The 20,589-nt window shown below is 35.2% G+C and overlaps 2 long non-coding RNA genes across 2 annotated transcripts in view; one reads left to right on the forward strand and one right to left on the reverse strand.

Annotated features, from left to right (window-relative positions):
- Window positions 1-20,589, forward strand: part of LOC105379107 (uncharacterized) — a 339,090-nt gene that overhangs the window by 271,640 nt on the left and 46,861 nt on the right. The window lies entirely within an intron of this gene.
- Window positions 2,007-12,526, reverse strand: LOC101930276 (uncharacterized). The gene is made up of 3 exons (XR_427752.4): window positions 12,461-12,526; window positions 7,470-7,596; window positions 2,007-3,093 (listed from the first exon to the last, which is right to left on the reverse strand). It is a non-coding gene; the product is annotated as an uncharacterized LOC101930276 (long non-coding RNA).

Consider the following 20,589-nt stretch of genomic DNA (forward strand, 5'->3'; position numbering starts at 1 on the left):
AATTTTTGCATTTTTTAGCAGAGATGGGGTTTCACTATATGTTGGCCAGGCTGGTCTCAAACTCCTGACCTCAGGTATCTGCCCCCCTCCTTCTCCCAAAGTGCTGGGATTACAGGCATGAGCCACCGTGCCTGGCCCACAAGTGAGTATTTCTAACAGGTATATTTCTAGAGACACGACTATTTGTTTGCCATCATGCTCACATTTGAGTTTGATACATCCTGCCCTAGTACTCTCCTATCAACAGTGTATAGGTGACCATTTCTCTCCACCAGTGCCAAACCAGATATAACCAATACTAATAATTACATCTTATTTTATTTTTTATTTTCTTGATTACTGGTTGTGCTGATTAGCTTTTCAATTATTTATTTTCTCTTAGAAGTACCTATCCCTATTTTGACGATTTTTCTATAAGATTTTTTTTTCATATTGGTATGTAGAAAGACTTTTTTTTTGAGACAGAGTCTTGCTCTGTCCCCCAGGCTGGAGTGCAGTGGCGTGATCTTGACTCACTGCAACCTCCACCTCCTGGGTTCAAGCAATTCTCCTGCCTCAGCCTCCTGAGTAGCTGGGACTACAGGCAGGTGCCACCACATCCAGCTAATTTTTGTATTTTTAGTAGAGAAGGGGGGTTCACCATGTTGGCCAGGGTGGTCTTGAACTCCTGACCTCGTGATCCACCTGCCTCGGCCTCCCAAAGTTTTGAGATTACAGGTGTGAGCCACCATGCCTGGCCGGTATGTAGAAATACTTTATATAATCTACCTGAAATCTACACATAAAGGAGGCAGAAGAGTGAGGTAACTTCCCAGTCCTATGTTTTTTCAACTGCAGTAAAGGCATCTGCTTCATAGTAAGGGCCGAATAATTTTTAGCTATTTTTATTAACCTTCTATGATGATGTATTGAAATCCACAGTGCTCTTTCTAAAGAAGGCTATTATTAAGATTCTTTACGGAATACAAAAGTACAAAATAGGATAGACATGTCCAAAAATGTTACCTATATGTATTTCTGTTACTTGGTATGCAGATACCTAAAGGGAATCATTAAGAGGGTGTGTGGGCACTTGCCACATTTTAAGTAGAAACTCATTATTTGATGAATTTAATCAACATTGACAAAGGGAAGTTTTCTCAGGTCTCCTCTCCAAATATATATCTGACTTATCTAAATGTACCTATTGTATAGAATAATTTAATCAGAAAATTGCTGATCTTTAATGAATTTATTATTTGTAGATATAATTAATGTATGTAGAAGATTTATGGGAATTAATTTTAAATTTGTTACACTATTTCAGGTTACTGGTAAGTTTTGTGGAGTTCCACTATTGTCTATTTTCTTTGACTTTCTTTGAAATTTTAGTTCCAGAGTGTTTATTTTATGTATAAGTATGTACACACACACACATATACACATAATATACACACAAAATATATATGTGTATTGTGTATTTGCATATTTTATCAGAAAAACATTATTTAGAGAAATAGAGGATAGATGATACCTCAGCCTGACCAGCAGACATGCCTTTTTCTTGAAGAACAAGAATCTAATACTAGTGTCTATGCAGACAGATTTTGACAGGTAATTTTCTTTTATTAAAGAATATGTAAAGTCTTTTTCCCTTATAACTTTTCATCATTGTAATTCCCTAAAATTACTAATAATCTCCAAAGACTCTTGCATACTTTTATCACCTTGCTCTTTTCATCTTCCTTCAAGTTGCTTATGCTATTGCTATTTTATTTCAAAACTTGCTTCTTACCCACTTTATCTGCCAACTGAGGTTTTACCTTCTGAGGCTCTTCGAGTTGCCTTTTCTTGCCAGCTGACTGCATGCTCTCAACGCGCTTCTGTACACTCAGTCTCTGCCTTTTCGTCTTTCAATTTATACCACCTCTCTCTTTCCTCTCTTCTTCAGCTACACTGAGCTGGTTTTATTTTGTGTGCATAGACAGAAAATGTCCTTATGACAAGAAATGCCACTGCTAATCTTATTTTCCATTTCTAGCGTATATTTTATTAAATTTTTTTGTTTCATTTTTTAACCTATGTACTGACACAGTGCCAGGCTTATTTCAAGATTTTTAACTCAGTCGACACCAACTGGCATGTGTTAAACTAGGAGGAAAAAAAAAAGAAATCAAACAGAATAAGAATTACTGGAAATCAACAGCACTTTCTGGATGAAGGACTTTGGTAATTGAATTGTTACATAGCCACTAGGTTTAGGCAAAGGAATACAAAATGCCCAAGATAAAACTGAGGAGAATTGCTGAGTCCGTTAAACTAGATTTGAATAATTTGTTCCTGTGATAGAACCTATTCCTATAGAAAGGCATCATATGACTGAACCTGAAAATAAAATTACTGTCAGATATAAAGCTCATTGTGAATACAGTAGCAGTGCTAGAAATGTAGAACATTAAAAAATATAACCAAGTGCCCGGTTATGATTTATCATCAGCATCAGGAAACAAACATATCGCATAGGCATTAGGTTTAGAGCAAGTTTTTTTTCTATATATGTTAATAGGAATAAGCAAATGGAGAGATTAAATTTTTTTTTCTGTTTCTGGCATGCTACTGAATACATTGAGGCCAGCCTAGAATTTTAAAACTTCTTGAAAATATATTTTCAGCATTTCTATTCCAGGATAACTCTTTGCACATTTTGATGTAAATGTTTCCTTGTTTAAATAACCCTACACATACATGTGTGTGTGCACTATAAGGTTAAAAAAAAAAAAAGTCAAATAGGATTGCTTTGCTCCAGAAAGAACTGTTGATATATAATGATAAAAAACAAAATTAAATATTAAATGCAATGAGAAATACAGGTTTAAATTGGTTCGCAGTAACACATTGCAATTATCTTTTCCAAAGACAGAGGTCATTACTGAATTAATATTTGAAAAATTCTTTCTATTTATAGGCCTTCAAAATGGTGTACTCTTGTTTTGAAACTTGGAGAATGCCTTAACACTCTGCAGGCCAGATCCATTGTTTCAGCTGTGAGAATAGGTTGGCTGGTCTTCCACAGAAATAACAACTTTGGTTCTTTAGGGTCTGATGTCTTACATTCTGGAAGAAAGAGGAAATTTAAGTTTTTTTTTCTATAAAAATACGATAACCTTAAAAATGAACAAAACAAAGTGTTGGTATGATATTTAAGTATGTAATTACACAATAAATTTGGAGTTTCATGTAATCTAGATCACATTAATATTGATCGTTTTCAATCCATTCTATAAAGATGTATACCTCATCAAACATAAATTGCCATTTCTTTATATATCAGTGTAATTTGACTACTTTTATTTCAAAAACCACAATTGTCCTATGGGTTTTTTCTAGTTATGTCTTGTGAAAGAGGAGAATTTATGCTAAGGCCATCCCAATTTCTCTGCATTTCTTGAGGATTGGAAATTAACTAGTAGATAAGTGATTCTTATGGAAAGCTAAGTGCACACTGAACTTATAAAGCTATTAAAAAAAAAAAAAAAGCAGGGCAGTCTTGGAATTAAAGTCCTGCTATGTGTGCTTCAGGTGCTTTTTAACTTTATCTTTATCATTATAATTAGGAAGACTCAAGACTGGAATAGCAAATGATTAGTCAAGCCTGCAATTTCAATTCAGTGTTGGAGATGTAGGTGAACATCCTTGTTTGCTCAGGGATTTTTGACTCCAGCTTTCCTGTCATTGTCCTGTACTTTTTCAAATGTTAAAAACATACCATTGGAATAACATTCAATATGAGAATATTTTGCATACAAGATAACAATGTCAAGACAGAGAAATCACAATATACTAATGGCTAGATCTATATATTTTATGACCAAGTTGAAAGAACAACGGTAGCTAAAGATAAATAACATATAGCTTTTGTTATACGCTGAATTACTGGGAACATTACATTTTCTTATATATTCTATTGCACAGGTAGGGAATCAGAACACTTTTGATGTGTTTGTGGATGGTTTGTGTTTGGAACAAAAAGATGCAGTTTTCTATATATATATATATTTTTTTTTCCATTTTATCCAAACTGGTAAATGTTTCCTCTCCCTTTTCTACTGACAATGATAATACCATTTAGATCACTGAGGATATATATTTCCTAGGAGCTCAGATTATAATAATATAATATTTATATAAAACCTTATAATTTATACAAATCTTCATATTTATCATCTACTTAGTGTGGTCTTTATTGTGTGTGCCATGCATTTTTATTCCTTAATATTAAAGAACTAAAAGGAAGACAGTTTACTTAATGTAGCCTAGCTTTCCTCAACCTATTTAATACTGTTTTCTGTAAACCAGGTTACTGATCCCATGAAAAATTCCAAAGGTAAAAATCATAAAGAAAATAAAAGGACTAATCAATTTGAATACAAAATAAATTTTATGTTTCTGAGTGGAGTAACTAAAACCCACATAGAGTAAAGAGGAGAATAATGATGCAATAGCATGATATTTTGAATTGTTATCTGTAACTTATTTTTAACAGTTTCCTTCTCCTACGGAAACTTTCTTCATTCAGAAGCTCAGCATTCACCTTCCTTGTTTCAGAAAAGGGATAAGACCACAGAAAGCAGAGAAAACAAAGCACATTAATTCTGAATTTTCACATTCAAGTAGCCAATTCAAATTGATAGCCAAGTGTTATGGCTCCTTTTTACGTCCTATACTCCAAGAAGAAGAATAATTGTGCCACAAAATAATACATAAGTAGATAGGATGGATTCCTAAGGAAAAGATGTTGGGAGCCATTGCTTGCCAGGAATGGGCCTGGGTGAAGCAATAATGTTTTGGGGCAATTTGGGGACACAGATGACTCGTCCTTCCCTTTCCGCATAAAGCACAGACAATGTCAGGACCCAGAGAAGGCTGTAAGACATGTTTGGTCAGGGATAAACAGATGGAGTGCAGAAGTTTCATGCTTCAGTATGGGCCCTAAATAACAGAATGAGCCCCTGTGTCTCTGGCCAAGTCATATAAGTAAATGAATGGACAGGAGTGTCTGAAGAAGCCCTGCAGTTGGAAAATGGCTGGTTTAATTGTACCTACATGGACTGATGTTTGTGGACCTACTGGAGTTAAATGTAGCTGAAGTCTCTGTTGAGATGGTTGTCCTCCCTGCCCTGGCACAGCCTCTTGAAATCTAATGCAATCCTGGGTAAAGAAGCCTAAAATGATTGCAATTATGCCTGAATTGCTGAGTTGAATGAGGTTAATAAGTAGAGGATTTTTTGATAATATAGATTTGGCAGATTAAAGTTCTTACCTATTATAAGAACAAGGTTTTCTTTCCCTGAGGCTAAAGGAGATTCCATAACAACATGGTAAGAGGGTATCAAGACAAATATAGTAGAGTTTAGACAGTGGTGGGTATCTGAGAAGAAGGGCCTCACACTACATCTCCCAGCCTGAGCCGGAGGAATGGAGACAGAAATTCTAAGTAGGGTGCATGTACAAGTGGTCCCAGGACTTTATTTTTTCCTCATTTCAGGGTAATGCTCAGGGAGGTAGCAACATGGCATCAGGAAACAAGCCCCGAGTAGAGAAGGTCTTAGAAAAACTTGGCAGAGTTTCTGGGCACCTGTGATAGCCTGGGAGGGGTGGAAGATGCACACAAGTGGCAGAGGAATAGACAGAAACTTGGCTCCACAGACTTTAGTGGTGCTTGTCAAAGAATAGTCCTATGGACCACAGAAGGATACTAATATATTAGGAAAAGCTGGGCTTGACTTGATGGTTTGGAAAGACAGATGATTTAGAATAATGTGCATGAACTAAGATTGAAGGCACTATGTGACCAGAGGCATCTCGGTAGATGCTCAGGGCATACCTAACGATCCTGGCAAAGTACACCTTTACACTGCGCGCTCATTCTTTTGATCTGTGAACACATCCCAGAAGTAGGAAATAGAAGAATGGGGAGATGGTGGTGAATTGCCTAGATTAAGTTCTACCACAGGGAGGAATCTGGACTCCAAATAAAATTATTTTATAGAAAACTATAATTACATTTCTTGATCAACTGAGTTTATGAAATGTGATTTATAATACTTTTTATTTACATGGCATTTTACACTTTTCAAAGTATATTCTTTTACTTCAGTTGCACATCTGCATCAGTAGGTGCTAGCAAAACGTATTTTAGTTTACCCATGCTGTTAAAATGGAATCTTTACAATTGAGACCTACTGAAATTAGGCATTTTAAAAGCCTCTGAAATTAGAATCTTTGTTCTTTCTTTTTCGGAATTTTAGAATATTCTAGTAGTCTGAAAAACTAGACCTTAACGTTCTTCAGACTTTTCTGATTAATGGCTGTTCTTGTTCAGAATAATTGAGGAAATCAATACAAGGAGCTAGGCATCAAAAGTCAATTCTGATCCTTATATTGTTGTTAAGTGACTTTTAAAATAGATTATTGTGATAGTTTTGCTTGAATTTCTATTGCTATGAAAAATTTTAAGTAATAAACATGAATCACTTTATTATAGGGAATTGCTAATTCATCATTTTATGCTTAAAAAAATATATCTTCCAAAGCAGGGACATTTTATTTAGGCCTGGTAAATGTTAAAATACAATCTACATAAAATGTTATTAAGGGCTGGGTGTGGTGGCTCACACCTGTAATCCCAGCACTTTGGGAGGCGGAGACGAGTCTGGCCAATATGGTGAAACCCCATCTCTACTAAAAATACAAAAATTAGCCAGGCATGGTGACACACGCCTATAGTCCCAGCTACTTGGGAGGCTGAGACAAGAGAATCACTTGAACCCAGAGGTGGAGGTTGCAGTGAGCCAAGATTGTGCCACTGCACTCCAGCCTGGGTGACAGAGCAAGACTCCATCTCAAAAAAAAAAAAAAGTTATTAATGCCTTGACATATTTGCTATTAATTCAAAAGGTTAAAAGGTTAAGTGAAACTAAATACAAATTTAAATAAAAAGCTGGGCATATGCACTGGGCTGAAAGAGTTACGAGTTACTTGTAATTAAATGTTTAATGTTACTTATATTTGATGACTATGATGCAACTATAAAGGCATGCTACAAAAGAATGGATGACTTTGATAAGTTGTTTAAAGTAGTATTTTATTAGTCTTAGATATTATTTTAATGGGTTGGAATATCAGTTGTATGTTATGCTATAGTTCATACTTCTGAATTTTATTTCATGGCTTGTATGTGGATTTTAATCGCATATTCTGAGGATAGTCTTTTAACTGATTCAGAATTTTTTGTACTTCTGCTAGTTATGCTTTTGTTGAAATGCCTTAAAAATGCACATTTAAATAAATTTGCTTCTTCCAATTGTTCCATATAATGATGTTTCTATAAAAGATACAATTTTAAAAAGGGCTGCCTATGACTTTCATGTGTAATTTCTTTTCATTCAGCTTAGCTGATGATAGCACAATTTTGAATTTCACAAGAGTACCAGTTGGTTTATTTCAGTTGGAGGCTAAATTTACAGGAACTTATGGAAACTCCAGGAAATTCACGTCATTCAATTACTTGACTCTCCCAACAGCCACATCTTCCTCACACAAAAAGGATTTGTCCACCTGCAAATGGAAATGAAAAGAACATGAAAAACAGATAATACATGCAGAAACCTGAGTGATTTTTTAAAAATTTTAAATATAATCGTATTATTTCCCTCTTAAAATGTATTAGGGCTTTCTGTGGCATAAGAATAAAGTGAAAAAAAAAATACTCATCATTACCTATAGGACTGTCATGTCCTGTTCCCTGCTTACCCCTCAAAGTTCACTTGTCATCTTTTTGTCTCTTCCTGTAGCTTTATTGGCCTTTTATGATAACTTCAGGGTCCTATGCCCCTTTTAGCCTTTGTTCCTTTGCATGTACTGATCCCCAAAGCCTGAAAACTCTTCTCCCTATCCTCTTCAATCTGGCTAACTCTTATGTGTCCTTCAAGTCTCAGCTTCAAATATCGTTTCTTCTGTGAAGACTCTTCTGACACTTCAAACAGAATTATGTTATTGCTCTTGAATAGAACTTTTTTTGTGGCTGTTCCCTACCACCTACCTCAGATCTTGACACATTAAGGGCATTCAAGAATGCCTCTTGACTGAGGAATCTTAGGAATTATGAGTCCTCTCCGATTAGATTTAAGTATAGAAACATCTTTATGTGGGAGTTATTGAGGTTTCTGCTGTTTCACCACTTCGTCATATTTCTTACCTTACAATTGTAAGTTTCCATTCAGAATTAGTATCCAGGTGCAGTTTGAGAGCTCTTGATCATCAAATATGTAGCTCTAACCTTCAAAACTCAAATGCCAAGTCTTTCTTATTTTCCCTTTTCTTGATACCCATCATGAAGACTGGGAAATACAGAGCTGGCAGGAGGTTGAGCAGAAGAGCTCAGACATACCCCTGAAAAAATTCCATATTTATGAGACCCAAAAATGAGGCAATAGAACATGCCTCATTTTGGCCATCAGATATAGGACCTACTTCCTAACTTATTTTATGCCCTGATAAAAATGGGTAAAAGAGTATGAAGACAGACAAGGGTAGATTAATCAGTCTGCAAGTCTACCCAGAGGCTGCATGATAAGCATTGCATCATGGTTTATTTATATCTGTGGAAAAAGAAATTATGATTTTAATAATAATACATTTTCTGTTTTCATAATTTCATTTTCTAGTTCAAGTTTTTTTTTCTCTCTTTCTGCATTCATTGTGTCATGAGCATCCTGTGAGAGTGGCCCAGTTGGCTAAACAGCAGTCTGAAAACTCAGGTGCTGTGTAACCTATTCCCTGCTGGGCTTTTAACTTGCTGTGTAACCTTGAACATACTTCTTAATATCTCTGTGCTCCAACGTCAGGATTTGTAAAATAGTGGAAAAAGGTATTAAACTGCAGGCATATTTGTGAAGAAACACTAGTAAATGTGGTTGAAAAGCTCTTTGAAAATATAAAGTCCTAACCATAAGAAAAAGAGGAAATCAGCCAAAAGCACAACTGAGAATGCCCTTAAATGTACTTAGCTGTTGATGGAGAGATTTAGGTCTGATGTGCGGAAAATTTTCCTGACAGCGGGTTGTTAAAATAGGCTACCTCTTTGGCTTATAATATTTTCCTGCTGTTTCACATTTTATTATGTCAATGACAATCTCCCATCAAGGTATATGTGGAAGCTATAAAATAGAAACTGTGCCATACCTTGTTATACGAGATATGGCCAGGTTTTGAGTTAACGGTCTTCATTAGTGATCAATTTTCATCTGTATCTTAGACAATTACTAGGCAGAATCTGTCAAGTAAATAACATTGTTTGGTGGCTCCAGAATTTCACAGCTTAACAAAATAGTCAACCTAGAAATCCGAAGTTGTAGAAATTGAGGCATTTGAGACCAGGGAAAGGGTATTTTTATTTATTTATTTTTAGTCAGAGGTCTTTCTTGGGGCTGCAGAAATCACATCCTAAGTGATCGCTTGTTTTCAGCTTAATTCCAGATTTATTATCCGATCTATTTAACCTCTTTCTTGAGTACATGGTAAAGAGTTGGCATCTGAGAAGAGATACATTTCTGAAGGGAAAGTTTAAAATAGTGATTTAGGAATTAAAATGTGTACATAAAATATTGTCTAAAGGGATTTCTAAAATTTACTTTTAGATGTCATATAATGAATTCATAGAAACAGATTAGTTTCCAGAATGTTAATATTGCTCTCCTAAACTTTAATATTAAAGTTTATTACAGCTTCTTTTTTCTATTTGGAACATTAGTCTTCTTTATGTGTGCAAAAACAAATACCCTACCTTAAAAATCAAATAATGTTTTTGCAGTGATACCCAAACATGATAAGGTAATAATATTGATGATATTAACAAGATAAAAAATCCAATGTAAAAATCCTACTGCATTAGTATATGTTTTTTGTTTGTTTGTTTGTTTGTTTTTTGCATTTTTTTAAGATTGTCCTAAATATGTCCGCCGTGCGCGGTGGCTCACGCCTGTAATCCCAGCACTCTGGGAGGCCGCGGCGAGTGGATCACGAGGTCAGGAGATCCAGACCATCCTAGCTAACACGGTGAAACCCCGTCTCTACTAAAAATACAAAAACAAAATTAGCCGAGCGCGGGGGCGGGCGCCTGTAGTCCCAGCTACTCGGGAGGCTGAGGCGGGAGAATGGCGACAACCCGGGAGGCGGTGCCAGAGCGCAGTGAGCAGAGCTTGCAGCGCTCCGAGCACTCCAGCCTGGGAGACAGAGCGAGACTCTGTCAAAAAAAAAAAAAAAAAAATTGTCCTAAATATGTCACAAACTCTGATGGATGTGCATAATATTACCTTTAATTTATCATAAGTAAATCTTGTGATGCTTACACAGAAGAAAGGAGTCTGAAGATTGTGAGATCACTTTGGTTTATCCATAGCTTTTATTTTGCAATTTCAGTAACTTATCTCAAGTTTCAGTCTCTAACTTGTCCTCCCTTGATAAAGATTTCTTAAGGAATGTAAAAACATTATTTTCAATACATCAGTAAACTTGCAGTGTTTCCTAATTAAAATCTAAACCTTTAGGCATATAGCTTTTAATTGTGACTAATGTGAAATAAAATTAAATTTGGCCTAAAGCTGTCTCTGTGGATAGCAAACTATGACCTAACTTAGTATATAAGCAAACTGCAACCTAACTTAAGGATGTAAACAAACTGCAACCTAAATTAAGAGTATATTCTTATAACAAATAGCTGAGTCACAGCCAATCACAGCAGCCACACTTGAGCTAATCAGAGGCCGCCAACTATTCAGACCAGGCTCATATAAGGGAAACACCTAGCCATAACCAATCTATTTCTGTATGTCAGTTTCTTTTTCTGTCTATAAATATTGCCTGCCCACATTGCTGGGTCGAGCTCTGTGAACCTCTTCTGGTTCTGAGTGCTTCTTGATCTGTGAATCATTATTTGCTCAAACTCTGCTAAATTTAATTTGTCTAAATTTTTTAAGAGTATATTTTATGGCATTCTAGTTGTTTAATTGTTGAAAATATAGTGCAGGCTTTCCTTAATATATATCACAGACAGCTTTCTGAGTTATGGTCACAGCACAATCAGCTATCAAATTGAAACTGTTTCCCTCCATAACCTCAGCCTTGAAGTTTTTTCTTGATATGAACCTTTGTCTTTCTGTTTTCAATTTCCAAATTTTTAAATGGCAAAATTACAATTTTTTTCCTTTTCATTATGACATGATTGAAAAATCCCCAATCAATACTCAATACAACATTTACTATTAATAATATTTTAGGCTTATCATGGAGTTTCTTTTATGATCAGAGTAAGCATGTTATTTTCCAAGAGGAATATACAAACTTTTCCTTTTGAAAGCATTGGTTAAAATGAGGGAATTTTTATAAAAGTGAATGGAGGAAGAGCAGAACCAATGAAGCCAGAAGATATATTTTACTTAGAAAAGCAGACACAAAATTTATAGTGCTCTCTTTAAATAATACATTAGTTTGACCCTGCTGTGCTATATATTTTTATATATTTAATGTGAACTTGGGGACTCATTTAGGTTTGGACCAAGCTAGTCTTACCTGTATCTATACCAGTGAAGCTGTTGCTACTTACAGGACAGAAAGAAGCAGTGACCCATACATGTCAATCCTCTGAGACAAGTTGAGTTTTATTAACTGTCACAAAACATTTTCTTTGTGTAGGGTCCAAAGCTGCATTCAATATATTTAGGAGCTTTGTCATATGGCATACGTTCTACTGGTCATTAATAATATTAATACTTCTATATTTTGTATGATTAATAAAATTGAAATTATGTGCTTTGTTATAATGGAAAGTGAAGAACTGATCATCATTTCCTGAAATATACTCTATTGGTTTAAAAATAAACAGCCGAATAAATACCTTGCCTTCAAATTTAAGCTATAGAAAAACTCTTTTCTCTAGACCTGATTTACACCTACCATCAGGATTTGTTTTCTTCTTACTTTTTTTTTTTTTTGTAAGAATTGACTAGTTAATGTTTACAAAGTATTTTGAAGGTGTAAAGTGCTGGCAAGTGCTAAGCCCAATAAAAAGTATTTTATACAAAATCTGAGAGCTGACTTGTACAGCATCCAGCTTTGTGAGTGAATAGAGCAAAGACGATTAAAATCAACATCATTTGTAATTTAAAGTACCGTGAACAACAAAGAGGATCCAACTATTGTTTTCGTTTGACAGGCTGCAAATATAGATTGCTGAACAGCGGTAGTCTGTCAATATAAAGCATTTAGCACTTCACTAAACAACTTGAGAATTTTCTACTTTAGGAAAAGAAATATGAAATCAGATTTGGTGTAACATTATTATTTTAATGGATTAACCATATCATTATTAAAAAGAAAACTACAACTCAACAAAATCCAAGAAAGTCTTTGCTATAGAACTTACCAGTGTGGTGAATGTTCAGAAAGATGAAACCCTTTCCATGAAGGCTTTCCCTAGCTCCACCCATCTGGAATGTGCAGAGGGATGATGACAGAATTCAATTGCACGGAAGAAAGAAAGCATTGTATTCAAAAAAAGCATTGTATTCAAAGAAAATACTGAGAATAGATAAAAGGTTGATATTTGTTGATCACAGACCACTCGTGAGGTGGAGCTTTGGAATGCAGGTTTCCACAATCCTAGTTTCATAAAATGAAAAATATTTTATAGTACTCTAATAAATGTTGATTGAGTCCACAAAATATTCTTAGAATTTTGAGGGAATGCTTTTACTTACTGTATTTTTATAAAACCAGTTCTAAAAAATAATTTAACTCTGCTCTTAGGGAATATACAGATGAATAAGGCACAGATCACAAACTCACAGAACTAGCAGTAGGGAAATTATAATAAAATGCGTAAGTAAACACCTATACTACAAAAGAGAATGCGGAAGTTAGACAATTAAGATATTAATTTGATATTTTGGGAATTTAGAGGAAGACATTCTGCCTCATCAAGGGAAATCAAATAATACTTTTAATTAAAATTATGTAGTTCTGCCAATTTATATACCTGTCACCTTTAAATTATTTCAGATAAAAGGATTTAAGGGCTGGGCGCGGTGGCTCACACCTGTAATCCCAGCACTTTGGGAGGCCGAGGCGGGCGGATCACGAGGTCAGGAGATCGAGACCATCCTGGCTAACGCAGTGAAACCCCGTCTCCACTAAAAATACAAAAAATTAGCTGGGCGTTGTAGCAGGCGCCTGTAGTCCCAGCTACTCTGGAGGTTGAGGCAGGAGAATGGCGTGGACCTGGGAGGCAGAGCTTGTAGTGAGCCGAGATCTTGCCACTGCACCCCAGCCGGGGGGACAGAGCCGAGACTCCGTCTCAAAAAAAAAAAAAAAAGAAAAAAAAAAAGGATTTAAGGTAACAGCAACAATAAAAAGATTAATTTGTTCATTAATTCTATAAGTATTTATCCTGACTCTGATTGTATTTATATTTTTTATGTTTCTGTTGTTGTTCTTGTTTTGAGACAGGATCTTGCTCTGTCACTCAGGCTGGAGTGCAGTGAAATGATCATAGATCACTGTAGCTTCCAACTCCTGGCTCAAGTGAGCTTCCCATCTCAGCCACTGGAGTAGCTGGGACTACAGGTGCACACTACCATGCCTAGCTAATTTTAATTTTTTTTTTTTTTTTTCTGTATAGACAAGGTCTCACTAGGTTGCCTAGGCTAGTCTTAAATTCCTGGCCTCAAGAGAGATCCTCCCACCTCACCCTCCCAAAGTGCTGAGATTGTAGGTGTTAGCCACCAAGCCTGGTCCCATCCTGACTCTCACAGTATTTAAAAACAAACATCTTGAGTTTAGAAAATGCATTGCTTTGTTGGTAAATCAAAGCTGTGTGTGCATGGTTCAGAGATTAATTAATTTTTTTGTGATACATTACTTAGATTACTATGCTTGAGGACAGTCCACTCATTTTTTTAAAGTTGCAACAAGATTCATTCCCATATTTTTACCTAAATTCTGGGCAGATAGGTTACAGTCAATATGCTTTAATTATCCCATTGGCCAATGGACCTTCTCAATAACAAAATGAGATATGACCTGCCCCCAAATGTGAAGAGATCTAGATACTATCGAAGTAGAAAAACTATGCTTTATTACCATTGTAATACCTTCTACTGATAATCTTATTCTGTAGCTTGTGGCCCCCTCACACCCAGGTTCCTCATGTTGCTTCTTAATCTTCCATCGTCCATATTCCTGGGACCTTACCAGTTTCTTTTCTGCTGCTAGAGTTTATCATAACTCTCTTTTAATGTACACATTCAATGAAAAGTATTTAAAAATTTTTAAAGTATAAGGACATTAACAAAATCTCTCATGATCTCACTATCCAGGATAATTATTTTTTAAACTATTTTGGTACATATCCTTCAAACCATTTTTTCCAACCCGACTTCCTTTAAAAGTTGTTATAATACTATATAAATACATATTTACTTAACCTTATTTTATCAACTTTCTAAACATTTATTCTGGAAGGTGTTGATGGTGCCTTTTCTCCATTATTTAAATTTCAAGAAATAAGAAATACCAAATGCATGTAAATCTGCAATATAAAAAGAAGTTAATTCACAAAGCTCAAAACTAAAAATATCATATGTGAACAATGCCAACATTACTCTTTGCCTAAAATATTTGAGTATGAAACCTGTATCCATTCATGAATCAATATTTGTTGAATGCTCATTAAATGCTGTGAGAAACACTGCGAGGAGCACAGTATTTTGCAATGCAATGGGATGTGATGGTCAGGAGTACTGCCCCGTCAAGCATTATTTGTGTGATCGTGGAGTAACCGTTTCTATACATGTCAGGTTCTTCACTAGACTTTGGGCTCCTTGACTTTAGGATACATAATTCATTTTTGAATCACTAGCACCTAACACAAAACATAACACATATTGGGTGGTTAATGAATTGAATTAAACAGCAGGACTATATTGGATAATTTTTATCCAACTTAAATTCTAATTTTGATGAATAATTCCTAAGCTATATATCAATCATTCATCACTAAAAAGACACCTAACTTTGGTTTTTCACATATATCAAATTCTTATACTGTGACAGCCAATGTGTTTTAAATATATTGGCTGTAACCTTCACAAACTCTAAGGGGTAAAGGCCCTTGTTTTTATGATTTTATAACTGAGGTTTCGAATATTAATTTTCTCAAGTTCTCATAGCAAGTGAAGAACAGTATGTGAATCCAATTTCAACACCCACTATAGCAGACTGTTTCACAGATGATACCTTAAAGGAAGGCACCGAAGTTCAGGCGACTAGAACTTTCAGAAATTAAAATCATCACTAGCTTAAAAGCAAACTGTAAAGGTCCTATATTTGCATTTTTTTTTTTTTCGGAGGAGGGACCAACAATTGTGACATGCTACTCTAGATGAAATAACTCAGCTTTGTTAAGTAGAGGTAAAACATACTAGAAAGTTTTCTTGTACTGTATTAATTTCTCAATCCTGCATGTGAAGAAGGATATTTTCAAAGTGAGACTTATCCCAAAAGACAGTGAATAAACTAAAAACAACTTCTTTTAAGGTTAAAGTAACAGGGTTTTACAAGCTTGAATATCTTATTCAAAATATTCCAGATTGGAGGACTCATCTGTGAAAGTCTAAATGAAATTTATTCCATGTGACTAGAATTCAGACTTAAGAACAATGAAGAACAGTGAATGGAAATTCTTAGGGAAGTGAATCTAAGTCTTTAAATCATTTTAACAATTACGGCTACCTGTCCCACAAGAGGGCAGGTGATTGTGTCTTTGATCTTTGTTACCAGGGCCTGGCATCATGTCTGACCTTGTAGTCACCTTTCAATGTTGATTTACTAAGTAAATGAATGGATGTTCAAACAAACAGCATAAAAGGCTACTTGGTAAGGTAGTGGGTTCCTATTAATGGAAGATTAATTCTCAGTCTTGATGGGGACTCAGCAGTATTCTGTGGAAGGATTCCTGAAGAGCCTAGTATGAGAAAACCCTGGGACTAGGTAAAGTACAGATGCTCAGCTAGGAAAACCTGGCTGCCAGGTCAGGGTGGAGGTTAAAGTTGGACAATGAGCTAAGAATTCCTGCTTAGAAAGTAGATCAGTGCCAGTGCTGGGGGTGGGGCTGAGGCTGCAGAGCTGTACTAAGAGGTTCCAGCTGTCAGAGAACAGGCAGGCCATTTACATGAGTAAGTCTTAGATGCCTTTGATATACAAGATTTTAGCATTTTGATGAGTTAAGATTACTTGAACACTTGGAAAAATAAAATTGCAGATCTTTTCATAAACTGTTAGTAATTACTAAAAAGAAATCATTTCCAGAAATAGTATGTTCAAATCAGTGGCTCTCAAATATGACAGTATAACTCCCAACTGTGAGTATTAATTCTGATTTAGGAGTGGGATGAAATTATTTCTAAGTTAACTTTTCACTTAAAAAAGAAAAAAAAAAACAGCCCTCTCCTCTCTTCCTACTACTAATAGAATATAATTATACAGTTTTTAAAAGTTTTGGATGTTCTTTGATATATACAAATATTTCTTCACTTATATTTATGAATGTCAACAAAATAGTTTAAAAGTGAAAATTTAATTAACACTTTTAACTTTTTTTGCATTATAGTAAATAATAGTCTGATTGTTTATATGTTAATTATGTTATTATCTATAATTTTAGTTTATAGGAGCCTAAGGTATCTGTTTTAATATTTTCTAAAGTTAAAAAAAAAGATTCTCTCCACTTTAAATGTCAATTTTTCTTCTCTTCCAAATAATAAGAACTCTCAAATTTAGCTGACTACCTTGCTGCCCTCCTCAAAGACTGGATTCCTCCTACCAATGACTATGGACAAATGAAAATATTTTGATCAATGAAAACTAAGTATTACATGTAACTTTCAGGAAATATGCTCAAAGGGATTTTGAGATATCCCTTCTCTTATTCCCTTTTCTTTTTTCCTGGGATGTGGATAGGATGACTAGGGCACAAGCAGCCATCTTGTGCAATGAGGCAGGACTGAGAATGGTGGAGTATCACAAAGCTGCAAAACAGCTCTGAGCTGTTAAATTTGAATAATACTGAAAGTGAATAAATATTTATCGTATTTGGCATCTTATACTGATGTTGTTATTGTGATTGCTATTGTTAACGTTTTATGTAACTGAATGCTGATACATCAGAAGATTGAACTGTCATGAATAAACACACCCACATATTCTCACATTTGTGTAACACTGTTGTAACTGATTTGTATTGGAGCTGCTGAGCAACCTTTACATCTCTGACAGTGACACAAGTTTACCAAATACCTTTGGCAATTTGAACCATCATAAATTGACATCCATGACTGATGTATTTCTAAATCTTACCTTCTGGGAAACAGGAAAGCTATCTCAAAATCTTTCTCCAAACCTAGTACTCTCTAAGTTGTTAAAATATATATTTGGAAAATGAATCATATCTAATAGAGGGAATTTTTTAAAATAACATTTTTAAAATTTAGATAAATTGCCATATTGTCATTTGAAGTCTGTAATAATATAAAAAATTTGTGATAAATATTATTTTATTTTAATAACACTACAGTTTTGGCTATTCATTCACATGATGTGTAGTAGAGTGCTTGTATTGAGACCTAGCTCCTTGTTTTTGCTCTGTGGTCTGATATCTTTTTATACCATGAGTTTGCTTTTCAACATAGACTTGACTGCAATAAGTCAACTGAAATTTTGCTGAGTACCGTTTATGAAACCTGGAGTCAAAGGCTCCTTCCTCGCCTTTGGGTGCTCAGGGCATTGTGCCAATATTTTGATTTGAGGTCATGTTATTCCTTTATTCATGCTGTTCACAATGTGGCTATTAAATGTATACCTATATTAAGAATTCCTGCTGTTATAATAGGTGTACCAGATAAAACTCAAATCATGCGTAAATGCTCCATAGGGAAATTGGGCAAAGTCTGTGAAACTGGTTTTTTAAAAAGCATTAGGGATGTTTTAAGAACATCTTTAGTAGAAGCACCTAAATTACTTTTCTTTTTAAGTCTTGTTTTAAACAATAGTTCATCTGAGGCAAGAAAAATGTGTTAAGATTTTTGTGATTCTAAGAATATCTATGAAAGAAGATAATTGAGAAAATGCTTTACAACAAAAGTGATTCTAGGTAATTGTTCTTAAAAGTCATGTGTTAAAAATAATATCCAAAAGAGTTATGTTGTAGAAAAGATTTGCAATGCACTATTGTGCAAAAGTTACTAATACAGGTATGATTATCTTGTATACATAATAGAAGTCTGTACTTATGAACATTCATCTATACAAATGGATCCTATAGCAGAGAAAGAAAGTAGGTTTTTCAATTTTATTTTAGCTGATTCTAATGTGGGACTAGGTGCACAGTTTGAAGAAATAAATTTATTTTTCTAATCATAAATAAGAGGTCAATGCCACAGATGTAGATATAGATAATATCTATATATCTATATCTATATGTTATTCACTCACTTCACTCTTTTAAGTTTTCAAATGTAATACACCTATATAAATGTGCATATATCATAAGTATACAACTCAATGGATTTTTGCGAACTGAAAATACTCAGGTAACTAGGACTTAAGTAAAAAAAAAAAAAAATTGCCAACTTTCCAGATACCCACTTTTGCTCCCTTCAAGTCACAAGCTAACCACAATGGTAACCACTATCCTGACTTCTAGTAGCATAGAGATTTTTGCTTTTTGGCACTTTTTTTCATTTTGAAAGTTGAGAACTCAAATATTTTCAGCTAAATTAAGAATGTGAAACAATTTTAAAAGTTCAGCTCGATGAAGTTTTACACATTTATACTTTTGTGTAACCACAATTCAGATCAAGATATAGATTTCTACCAATGCCAAGATTATTCTCATGTTCCTCTCTAGCCAATAGTCATTCCCTTTCCAGAAAGAGGCTTTGTTAGCTGCTGTGCTGGCTGCAGAGGCTAGAAGTGGATGAAACGTAGTCCTTGTCCCCAAGGAATATATAGTAGACAATCCAGATCTATAAGCAGGAAATTTCAATCTTGTGTGCTAAGGGTTATGATGGAGATAAGAAAGGAGTGCCCTGGGGCCCCCTCGGAAGGGCAGCTAGGTCCCTCTTAAAACATCAGGCAACTCAGTGAAAGCAATGATTAAACCAAGAGGTAAAAGATGGGAAGGGACTAGCCAGGTAGAGAAAATACCAAAGAACTACATCTGTAGAAACCTAGAGGCCAGAAATCAAATGGCCTGGAGTTCAAGACGACTGTATCTTAAAATGTTAGGCAGAGAATGATAGCAAATGATCAGGAAAGATCATCAGAGACCAGGTCACATAAGAAATACGGACTTTGTCTTGAGGTTGTGGCAAATGCGACATGGTCAAATCTGAGCTTTAGAAAATTCACTGGCTATAGTTTGAGAGACCGAATTGGGAAGAGCAAGGCTGAACCTAGGGAGAAGAAAGGTGATAGTCTCAGGATTTTAAGTGACAATAGAACCAGAGACAAAATAACAAGAAATGTAGTCAACATTAAAGCCAACATTAATCAAGCCAGGTACTACTAAGTACTTGCATAACTTATGTCCTGTGGATCCTCACCACAGCAACATGAGTAGATTTTATTAGCTCAATTTTACTGATGATGAAAGAGACATATAAAACTGAGCCACATGCTTAAAAATCACACAGTAATTGATGGAGCCAAGAATCAAACTCAAAAAGTCTAACTCTAAGATTTGCCATCTTAAGTACTCTGAGAAAATTCTTCTTATTAACTCATTTAATTCATTATTAGCAAATGTCTTAAGTTTACATGAATTATAAATTTATAGAACTTTTCTCCATGGGAAGAAGCTGCTTAATTTTTCTCTTATTGAATCTGCATTCCCATCTTCACCTGTTCTTCCAAATATATAATAATTTCTCAGTTTTTATCTAAGGTATTAACATGGTTTGACTGTGTCCCCACCCAACTCTCATCTTGAATTATGGTTCCCATAATCCCCATGTGTCCTAGGAGGGACCTGGTGGGTTGTAATTGAATCATGGGGATAGATATCCCCATGCTGCTGTTCTCATGACAGCAAGTAAGTTCTCATGAGATCTAGTGGTTTTATAAAGGGCTTTTCCCTCTTTTGCTCAGCACTTGTCTCTTGACTGCTGCCATGTAAGACGTGTCTTTGCTCTTCCTTTGCCTTCCACCATGATTGTGAGGGCTCCCCAGCCATGTGGAACTGTGAGCCCATTAAACATCTACTTCTTTATAGAGTACTCAGTCTCAGGTATTAGCAGCGTGAGAACAGAGTAATACAGTAAGTTGGTACTGGTAGAGTTGGGTGCTGCTGTAAAGATACCCAGAAATGTGAAAACGACTTTGGAACTGGGTAAGAGGCAGAAGTTGGAGCACTTTGGAGGGCTCAGAAGAAGAAAGGAAAATGTGGGAAGTCTGGATCTTTCTAGAGACTTGGGTGACTCAGAAAACAGGAAGATGTGG

Source organism: Homo sapiens, chromosome 5 (genome assembly GCF_000001405.40).
Source record: "Homo sapiens chromosome 5, GRCh38.p14 Primary Assembly".
In the NCBI taxonomy this organism is placed as follows: Eukaryota; Metazoa; Chordata; class Mammalia; order Primates; family Hominidae; genus Homo; species Homo sapiens.